The sequence below is a fragment of the Homo sapiens genome, chromosome 20 (genome assembly GCF_000001405.40).
Source record: "Homo sapiens chromosome 20, GRCh38.p14 Primary Assembly".
Lineage (NCBI taxonomy): Eukaryota > Metazoa > Chordata > Mammalia > Primates > Hominidae > Homo > Homo sapiens.
Window position 1 is genome coordinate 58,011,660 of NC_000020.11, and position 11,333 is coordinate 58,022,992.

General features: G+C 48.5%; 1 annotated feature.

Annotated features, from left to right (window-relative positions):
• Positions 9,915-10,084: a silencer, noted in NCBI's record as "fragment chr20:56596630-56596799 (GRCh37/hg19 assembly coordinates)". NCBI's record gives its function as "represses an EF-1alpha promoter that drives an FKBP-Casp9 reporter gene in an ReSE screen in K562 erythroleukemia cells {active_cell/tissue: K562}" and the evidence as "EXISTENCE:reporter gene assay evidence [ECO:0000049][PMID:32094911]".

Consider the following 11,333-nt stretch of genomic DNA (forward strand, 5'->3'; position numbering starts at 1 on the left):
GCCCCTGAGGAGGTGGCATTTGGAGGAGGAACAAGAATGAGCTCAGCAGAGGCAGCGAAGCTGTTTCCAAGGGCCAGCCAGTGCAAGGCTCCCAAAGTGAGCAGAGGGTGATGCATTTGGAGAAGTAACAGGAGGTCACTGAGGCAGGACACAGGGCAGGGGAGGTGACAAGGGGCCTTCCAGGCCAAGGACAAAAGAAGCCCCCTGAAGGGTGGGAAACGCAATGCACATCCTTGCAGTGGGTTAAGCCGTGTCCTTCCAAACAGACGTCCAAGTCCCAACCTCCAGCACCTGTGATTGTGACCTTACCTGAAAATAGGGTCTTTGCAGATGGAATTAAATCAAGGATCTCAAGAGGAGATCATCCTGACCTTCAGGGTGGGCTCTGAGTCCAATGGCAAGTGTCCTTGTAAGAGACAAAAGAGGAGAGACACACAGAGAAGGGAGGCCTCGTGACGATGGGAGCAGCGGTTGGGGTGATGCAGCCGCCAGAACAGGCCAGCAGCCACAAGAGGCCAGAAAGGGTCTGTCCCAAGAGGCTCGGAAGGGGGCTTGGCCCTGCCCACACCTTCATCTCAGACTCTGGCCTCCAGAACTGTGAGAGGACAAATGTCTGTTGTTTTAAGCCACGCAGTTTGTGGACATTTTTTATGCAGTCTTGGAAGCTAAAACGATGTTTAAAAGCTCTGGCTGAAATAGGCAGAATTGGTTGTGGGGCAGGGGAGGAAGCGGGAGCCGCCTGCGAAGCCAGGACCCCTGGAGCAGGATGGCAGCTGGAATCCAGGCAGTGACGGGGAAGGGAGGAGAGTGGAGATGGAGATATGCCTCAATAATAGTGAAGCTGAAATTTTACATCCCCACCCCCTGCCCAGCACCTTGCTGTAATGGCCTTATTCAGATTTTCATATTTAATTCTGTATTAAACCCAGGTGTCAGTGACCATCACCATCACCATTTTATAGACGAAGAACCAAAGGAACAGAGAGGTTCGTTAACATCTCCCAAGACCACACAGCTAGAGGCAGCAAGGCACAGATTGCAACCTAGGCCAGAGGATCAAAGGACCACGTATTTAGCCACCCCAAGCTCACTGTCATGCAGTCAAATTAACAGCACTTGCTGGGGGTAGAGGTGGGTGGATGATGACAGAGAAGAAAACAAGAGCCGCTAAGTGGGTGGCACTGCTTGGAAGACTGCGGGGTGGACAACCTGTCTGTCTCCAGGAGGAAAATGGCCATTTCCTTCCCAGGACGCCCATTGAGCAGGAACTTTCTGGAGCTGGGTCCTTCAAGATGGGCCTCCCACTCTCCACGTTCTGCCATTCGGAGCAGGCAACCTGCTGCGGTTGTATTAATTATGTGATGGCAAATGAAAGCCCCCAGCTGACCCACCGGGATCATAAATAACGCTGGCAGAAAATGGATTTGGGCCACGTGTCTCAGCAGCAGCTTTTTGTGGCATGAAGGTTGGATCTTTTCCATTCTGGGACTGGTGTTTGCTTAGCTGGGAAACCACTCGTCTTCCTGTTCCAGTTCTCCCCGTAAGCATTCTTTTCCCCTTTTTAAACAACAATAGGGGTTACTATGGAAATCAGAGTAATTTTCATCCCAATGTAGTCCAGATAAACTATCAGGCATTTGCGGCCACCTTGCCTGCCACCCGTGCTCTGGTCTCATGACTAGACAATTTGGGAACGTCTGAGAAACTCACATTCTCTTGCATCGATTTCCTAAGTGGGTCAGAGCTTGGAGTTCTTGGCAATTAATGGCTGAGTTAGTGAAGGCAGAGCATAAAAATTTCATGAGCAAAATACGTCTTCCTTATTTTGAAACTTTAAAAAGCCCCACTCAGATAAATGACCCCTGTTGTACCTGAAGTACTGAGTAAATTAGGTGTAATTTTATTACAATATTGATTGCTGCCACCAGACATCTCGATTGTATTTTTTAGCCTTGATCAAAGGTGAAAATGGCATCTTTTAATCGAGTTGAAAAATGCAACTCTGTGGGAAGATGGAGCTGAGCTGAAGGAGGAAGGTGGAGGGAAGAGAGAAGTCTCAGACCCCCTGTTGGGGAAAATCCACAACTTTTCAGCAGAAACAGAGATTGTCAGCAATGGCTGCCAGTGAATAAGTATTCAGTGAATAATAGGAAAAGAATATAGTAGGCACTCAATAAAAACCGCACCCCTACTCTGTAAGCAAGAAGCTCTGAATATGACAAGAGAGGCTCTTAGAGGTGCTGGAAGTAATGAAAGTCTCCTTAGGGGCAAGAACTGCAGGAAAACGAAATGATTTCTTTTTTTTTTTTTTTTTTTTTTTTTGAGACAGTCTCACTCTGTTGCCTAGGCTGGAGTGCAGTGGCACACTCTCGGCTCACTGCAACCTCCGCCTCCTAGGTTCAAGCGATTCTCATGCCTCAGCCTCCCAAGTAGCTGGGACTATAGGCACGTGCCACCACACCTGGCTATTTTTTTTTTTTAAGTAGAGACTGGGTTTCCCCATGCTGGCCAGGCTGGTCTTGAACTCCTGGCTTCAAGTGATCCACCCACCTCGGCCTCCCAGAGTGCTGGGATTACAGGCATGAGCCACTGTGCCAGCCCACAAAAATCATTTCTTATGTCTCATGTGGCCCTGGCACAGAAGAAGTGCTCAATGAATATTTTTGGAATATTATTGCTGAACTTATGAGGTATAGAAATGACTGTTGGAGAGGGGTGTCTTTCAGGGACCCTTTCTCTGAAGGAAGAGTGACAGCTGCCCAGGTGAGAGCTGAGGTCAGGGCATGGGGATGGAAGAAGAATGTTCTAGGCCAAGGGAAGACCCTGCCGTTCATCGTGACTGCAAAGCAGACAGGGCCCTCGCGGTGAGATAACTGGCCCTTGTGACAATAAATGTTAGTGTAGCACATAAGGCTGAGAAGAGACTGCTCACCCCTGCAGGTCCAGCCCCACACAGAGCAGGGGACACATGCAGTTTGCTAAAGGGGAAAGAAAGAGACAGGAGAAAGAAGAGAGGGGAGGGAGGAAGCAGAGGAGAGGGAGGAGAGGAGCTCCTCTCGCTCTGAAAGTTCCTTCCTCATCTGTAGACAATTGCACAGCTAACATAACCTCTTTTGATGCAACTTAAAAGGAGGTTACTGTTTGAAGAATGATTGATGACGTCTCCTGTGGTTTACCTTTCCCAAGTGACTAATTGGGTGCATTCACCCACAGCACAGAGAGGCACCATTTGCCCTGAATGATTTCATGAACCAGAGAAGTTGAGGGGCTCGGGTCAATGGCTGTGGTGCATGGAAAGCCATGGTCTTCCCCTACCCCCAACCCCACCCTAAAAAAATCTCAGCTAGGACAGATTAATCACAGGAATTGACTGGCAGACGGGCTTCGTGTAGGAAGAAATGCCAGGAGGCTTTGGATAACAGGGGCTGGTGGAGGGGGGTCTCCCACCTGCAGAGGCCATGGTAAGTGGGAGGTATGATGTGCAAAATAGACACTTGGCCCAAGCCTCCATGCCCAAAAAGTCCCAGAGTACACTGGAAAGCTTCTCCACTTGAAGCTTTGCACACAGTCACAGAGCCACCCTGGCAGGACTGGAAGAAGAACATGTGTATAGTATGAACATCTCTAAACTCCATCCCACACCAGTATTTGCTAAGAATTCATTTTTTTTTTTGAGTGCTGCAATTATCTTGTGGACAGTGCAAATTATATCCAGGGGTGTGCTGGTGAACCAGCTCTCCACAATCAAGAAAGGGGAGATCCCCCTTCGTTTGTGTTGTTTGCCAATTACCATGGTGTAAATACTGCCACTATGGCTGATTGCAGGCCATTGATGGTTTAAGAACTAACACAAAAGTTTCCTAAATATTTAATAATCGACTCTCATAAGCCTCTTCAAGCTGGCATTATCTCAGTTTGTATATAAGTTATTATTTATTAAATGTGACCATATGAAGTATGCTGCAATTTTGCAACCGTGCATTGGTATTTCTTTATGGTTTTAATATACCAGGAGGCTCAAAAGATGGAAAGGGTGGTGTAGGGTCTCTTCGTCTCAGAAATCACATTTGTAAAATCCTCTCTGCTCTGCTCTGTTCAATCTGGTGCCTAAACCTGGAAAGTGATTTTTCACCATCTCTACCTTCCTGCCCATCCTTCCCTCCTTTTACAAACATTTATTAGGCCGCTACTCTGCCGCCCCACATCCTCCATGAAAATGTCCCTCATCCAGTCAGACGTGGTAAATATCTCAGTCACTCCTGTCTTCCTTCTCAGCATTCTAGGTTTTACCCTAGAGACCAACCGCTCATTCATTCAAGAAATGTCAACTAGAAATTTATTCTGTACTGGGCACGTGCTAACTGCTAGAGCAAAAATAGAGTTATCTTGTTTTAAACAAACTTTTTGGAGAATACAATAATAATACATATTCACAGATGAGCATTTGGAAAATGTAAAAAAGAATACAAAATCATCTCATAACCTGTAATTCCATTATCAGAGATAATGGCGGCTGATGTTTTGGTGTGTTTCTATTCAGTTATTTTTCCTTGTCCAATAAACAAGGACACAAGAATTTTTTTATAAAAATGATCATAACCATTTAATAATACAATACAAACCTTTCTACATCATCACGTATTTTTCTGTACGATATAATTTTAATAATTGTACAATATTCTATTGTCTGGTTGTGTTATGATATACACCCAATCTCCTTTGTTAAACACTTCGGTAATACTCAATTTCTTATTCTGAATATTCTGAATCATTCTGCAATAAAAATTCTCTGATGAATGTCTGCACATGCCCATGATTAATTACATAGGACAAATTCTTGGAAGAATAGTATTTTCCAGGTCTTTTATGGTTTTTCTTTTTGGCCCAATAGTTGTTTAGGACATAATTTTTTAGTTTGGTTTGTTGTGTTTTATTTATAAATCTTAGATTTTTAGCATACTTCTTACCAAGATTAACATAGTTACAAAACTTTCCTCAAATCATAAATGTCAGCCCAATGAATTTGTATGTAATAAACATGCCCTTATAACCGGTGCATAGATATAGGAATAAAATATCACCATCTCCTCAGAAACCCCATTGGTGTCCCTTCTAGAAATTCTCTATACCCCATCCAAGGATAACCATTATCATGAATTCTAACAGCATAGATTAGTTTTGCCTGTTTTTGAACTTTATGTAAACAGAACCCTAAAATACAAATGCTTTTGTGTCTGGTGCTCTCGATCTACCCTACGCAGGCAAGATTCCCCTACATTGCTGGATGTGGCTATGTGTGTCAACTTTCCTGAGTAGTTGCATTGTGTTCTGGTGGATGAAAAAACCCATAATGTATTTGTCCTTTTACTGTTGATGAAAATCTAGGTAGTATCACCCATCTGGGTGGTCTCATCTTCACCCATCTATAGGATCAAATTTATTAATTAAATTATATAGAGCTTCTCTAGGTATACTTTCATAGTTTTGTCTCTAGATCTTTGAAAATTAAAATGGAAAGAGGTATCTAAAATCTCCCACTGTATCGTATCACAGAGGTGAAGGAGTCGGCCCAAGACCACACTATCCAGAGAGGTCAGGAGGCGTTTGGACTCAGCCACCCGGCCCCGGGCAGCCGAGGTTAACGGAACCCAGCGCCCGAGGCTGTTGTGAGGATGAAACATGATCATGGAATCTGAAAACTCAGCCTGACGTGGAAAACATGATTGCCTGTTAAGCACCGGCTGCTCATTTTCATCTTCTGGGTGAAATGCTCAAAGGGACTGGATGAATACTGAGTGAGTAAGGAATAAATGAATGAATGAACAAATGAATCCGAATGCCCTCCAATGTGCGTATGTGCCTGGGTCTGTTGCAGAAAGCCGCCTTTGTTGTCTAGACAAGAAGAGATGTTTGCTTTGTGAGCCCCTGGTGGGTCTGCGGAGGTGGCAGCCCCTGGGGGCAGCTGGACCTTCCCCTGGGCCCCCCACCAGGGTGACTGATGAGGCTGAAGGGGATTTTGCCAGCAGCTGCGGCTGCCAGCCCAGCCTGCCATGCAGACCTGGTGCTCTGGGCTCTGGAATGAAAGCACAATAGTGGCATTGTCACCACTTCCCTGTTTCTTGATTGTCCCAGTTACTCATCAAGGATGTTGGCGAGCCCAGCCCGGAACACAGCGTCCTTGTCCCTTGATTAAGCAGCAGACACGCTCAGACAGTGGCCCTGCAGGAGGTGGTCGATGAATTCATCTCTTGGCCATTCAGAGAACCCAACAGCCACGGACTTGGGCAGAGATGGGTCAATGGGAGGTCATGCCGGGTGGTCCCCTCCAGAGGCCACCCCCAAAGGGAAATAATGACAGCATCCTCCCCCCAGGAGGTGCCCCAGACAAGGCTGATGAAAGGGGTGGCTCGGTGGCTTCCTGTGGAAAGCCCGCTCTGGGACAGACCCCTGTGTGAGAATGATCCTGCTTGCTGTTATCACTCCTTGATCAAAACCTTCAGTGGCTTCTCACAAGCAGAAGACAGTCAAAACGCCTCTCACAGAGCCCTCCGTGATTTGACCACAGATCTTCCCGCTCACGTTTTTGCTCACCGTGTTCTGCTCACACCTGCCTAATTTCTGGCCCTGGGACGCACCATGGTCTGTCCTTCCTCAAGCCTCTCCTTCCGCCTGGGTGGATCTCTGGGTCCACCCCGGCACCAGCTCTGATGGCCGACTCCTAGCCGGGGCTGCCTGGTTCACTTTCGGACCCTAACACGTGGAGTAGCACCTGCCCAGAGGAGGCACTGGAGAGACATTCACTCAGGCTACTTCCCAGCGCCTAGAGCAAGGCCTGGTACATACTAGGTGCTCAGCAAATATGGAAGGGAGAGGGGAAAACAGAAGGGAGGAAACGGTGGAGAGAAATTATCATGCAGCAACTTCAGAGACAGCAAGGGGAGTGGAACAGAGAAAGGGGTGCCTTCCAACAGGCACCTGGGACCCCCTTTGGGATGGGCCCCCTGTACACGCCCATACCACTCTCCAAGGCTGAAAGCATCTCGTCCTCCACTGCCAAAGCATTCCAGGAACGGGGCTGCACCCAGAGCAGCAGGAGGTACCATCCCCTCTCCTACCCTCACGTCCAGCTCTTCTCCCTGCTCCATGATCCACAGTGAGGGCCTCCCTCGCTTCAAGATAGTCCATGACTAAGGACCTGTGGGACCATCACATTTCTTCATCTCTTCAATACATCTTTTTGAAGGCCTGTGATGCCCCATGGATGGGGCGAGGCTCCGGATCAATGAAGGCAGGAAAGTCACACGTGGCCCCACCTGTGGCAAGCCCCCAGCCAGTGGAGCTGGGAACATACTGGACAGATGAGAGTCAGCCCATGTGTTCAGGAAGCCAATCTGATTTTTGTCATCCACTGGCCCTTTAAACTTGTCCACTGGGAAGGAGCCTTGTCCCTGACCAGATGGGAGCTCAGGCGATGACCATGACTTTGCTGGTCGCTTTCTAGCAGTAGACAGTCCTGTGGTCAGTGTGAGTCACAGACGGCCTCAGTCTAGCAGTGGAAAAAGTCCTGTCCTGAGTAAGAATCAAAACTTGCTCCTTGATTCAGCACAATTTGCTGCACGACGGGTGCCTGCGGTAAGCTGACTGCTTGCAGGGAAGTGGCCTGGACCTCCTCTCTTTGCCCACAGGCTTTCGTCCATCACTCCGACACAGCCTCCTCACTCGGGCTCAGGAGCCAGGCAGGGTCGGGAGGGAGACGAGGTGGACAGCTGCTCCCCCCCAGTCCCGTGTGTGACAGCTCTGAACTGCCTGGGACGCAGCAGAGCCTCCTCCGATGGACTGACGGCTCTGTGGGGATGAGCAGGGCCTCTCCTACCTGGCCGCACCCCTGTGGGCCATTGTCCCGGAGAGGAGCCCCTCTCTTTAAGGGGCTCAGTTGCCCAGGATGCATGCAGCATTGACCGTCTCTTGGAGGAGTTTCAGCTTTTCAGAAGCAGCCGCAGTTCTTCAACCCAGGCCCCTTTTGCCCTCAGGCATGAGTCCCTTGAGCCCTCCAAAGGCCGGGCGCGGACAGAGCTGTCTGCATGTTCCCACAAAACCCTCGCCAGGTATGAAGTGAGGGGATCACCACCCTCCCTCCTTGGAGCGGAGAGTGCTCTGTGCTCCTGCAACTCACAAAACCTTCTTCCCATCTCCACAGAATCAGGACACCTGGGTTCCCATCCCTTCTGCCCACACCAAGGCATAGCCTTCCACCCCTCTGAGCCTCAGTTTCCACTTCTATACCAAGGGAATGGCACTGCCCTAACCAGGCTCTGAGGGGCCAGATGGAGTCACGTGCACGCACACATGTCCTGTTTATTATTAGCGGAGGTGTGGTGTTGGCATGGTGTGAGGATGGAAGGAATTCTCAGGACCCTTCCAGGGTAAAGGAACAGAAACATCCCTGACCTTAGCCTGGCCTAAACTAGGGATTGGCTCCTGGCCCTGAATTCTCTGCAGACTCTGAACTCAGTGTGTGCCCAGCCTGAGCCATAGCCAAGAACCAGGTCCAAGTGCACTGAATATCTCCCAAGCTGGGCTGGACACCCTCCTGCCACGTCCAGCCCATTGTTTCAATATGAAGCAGAATGTCCCCCTCAGAACCTGGGGCTGTGTACATTTTGCAGCTCCAGAGCCACTGGCATCACACTGCAGACCAGAAACTTTCCATGGGAACCGTGGGAGCAGGAGGAAGACCAGGTGCTCAGCGGCCAGGGCAGGGCCATCCTGGAGCTCTCAAGCCCGGGCACTGGAGCCAGCCAGCCATGTGTCCCCTTCAAGAAGTCTCAGAATCCCAAATCCCAGCTGCAGCCTCTGGAGCTGGAAGACAGGTCATGTCTTAGTGAAGTTCTTTCCCTGAGACCCAGGTCATCCAGGACAAAAGCAGGAACTGGAATGAGACAGGAAAGGCGGTGACCCCCCAGTCCCTGGCTGTCCAGCCTTCAGGTCATCCATGGATGCTACAACATGTATTGAGCAAAACTCCAGGATGTGCAACTGGGGTAAAGCAGAAGCAGAACAGACAAGCCCCAGGGGATGTAGATGCTGCAGGAGTGGGCAACAGCCAGTAATCAGGAAGCAGATGCATTGACAAAAAAAATAGCAAGCAAGGCAAAGCAAACCCCACGCAGGAAGCACACAGGTGCGGCCCGAGTGACCACGGGGAAGGGGCTGCTTTAGCCGCCCATCGTGGGGGCCTCCTCCAAGCAGGTGGAATGTGATTCTGCAGCTGGAGTGATGAGAGGGCTGGCTAGGGGAAGACCCAGCCCGCAGTGGCAGATGTCCAGGCCAAGCAGCCAGCACAGGCAGACTGTGGGGTGATGAGGTGAGAGCTTGCAGGGGAAAGGCCTGGGCTGTGATGAGATGAAAACTTCAGATGAAAAGATTTTTTAAATTGCCCCCTTATTACTGTATCAGTCAGGGTTTGACCAGAGAAAGAGTCAGTAGGAGGCAGATATTAAGGGATTTATGCAAGGAGTTGGCTTTGGTGACCATGGGGTCTGGCCAGGCAAGTCCCGAGTCCATGAGACAGGCTATCAGGAACGGCTGTGACTCACAGGCATGGGCCCAGGCCACTGTCACAGGAGGAATTTGTTCTTCTTCAGGGGCCTTTGCCGGCTCCAAGGCCTTTCCACTGATCAGGCCCACCCAGGTCATCCAGGACAACCTCCTTTACTTGAAGTCAGTGATTATGGGCTTAAACCACAACTCTAACATCTCTCCCTGCAATGCTCAGCTGAGGGACTCATTGAATAACATGACTGTGGCCTCGAAGGATTCACATATCAAGCTGATCATCACAATTACCTGCCCAGAGCAATATTAAACACCACTCAGAAATTATGCACATGGTTTCAACCTTCTTTTTAAAGTCCAAGTTGTTCTGGACCTCCCTTTTGGAGAGGTCCCGGAGTGGCGCCCCGCCGCGGGTCAGTGACTTCCTCCAGTGGGGAGGCATCTGCCCTTTGTCCCACCCACAAGGCAGAATGATAGGCAGGGGCCGGGACCAATCCCCACCCTGTGACTTCCTTTGAGGCAGCTTCAGGGGTGGGGCTGTCCAGTTCCCCTGAGGTCACATTAGGAATGCCAGCAAGCCCTCCACGTGGCTTTGGCTGGAATATTCTGGAAAACATGTTCATCACTGTCAGTGGGACTTTCTTAAGAATCATAGAAAATTGATGCTTCCCATGGTGGAGGGAAAACTCATGAATTTGATGGTGAGATTAGAGGAGTTTCAGACTGTAATGGCTACTTTTTTTTACAATTTGAAATATTTATTTAGACCAAGAGAGGAAATCACTACATGTTTTGCAATATTTACAAGTTAGCAATATCACAAAATGTAGTGGGGAAAAAGAACAATTTTTCTTAATTACAGCTCTGTAATGCTTTTTTCCTACTTTTCTTTTGGTTGTATCACGTTGTCTCTTCATTTGGCAATTTTGTAATATCCTTTCCCATAGAAGAATTTAAAGATAATTCAGAGTATCCTCTAACGTAGTTGATGGAAATTTGCTTTTTAGTTTTGATAGTTTATAGGAGTTTCTTTCAAATTCTCAACTCTTTACTAGCAATATAATGTAATTTTTACGATTGCTGTTAAATTTGGGGAAACCTCTATTGAGTTTCTTTCCTTGCTGAGCTAGGATTTCAGGGCATTTCAGATTTGCCATGGTGTGAGTTTTCTTAAATATTATTTGAATTGACAACATTCAGATTATTCTCAGATTATTCTCAGAAGATGTACACTGGTTAATTTTATGTGTCAACTCGACTAGGCTAAGGGAGACCCAGACAGCTGGTAAGACATGATTTCTGGGTGTGTCTGGGAGGGAGACGAGCAGAGCATCAGAGAGGAGCATCTGAATCTGTAGACTGAGAAAAGATTTGCTCTTTCCCAAGCAAGCAGGCAGCATCCAATCCATCCAGGGCTGGAGTAAAGCAAAAGGTAGAAGAGGGGAAAATTCACTGTCTCCCTTGAGCTGGGACGTCCACCATCTCCCGCACTCAGACGTTAGAATCCCGATGCTTTATTTAGCCTTTGGACTCAGACTGGGATTTACACCATTGGAGCCCCTGTTCTCAGGCCTTCGAGTTGGAGCTGGAACCACACCACTGGCATTCCTGCTTCTCCAGCTTGCAGTCAATCCTGGTTCTGTTTTTTTCTGGAGAACTCTGACCAATGCACAGGTCAACAAAGAAAAGTTCTTCCTCAAAAGCCCACACTTTCATGTTTGTTATGCATGTTATCTGTTGATTTAAAACAGATGGGCAAGATATCCTCAAGGAATTTG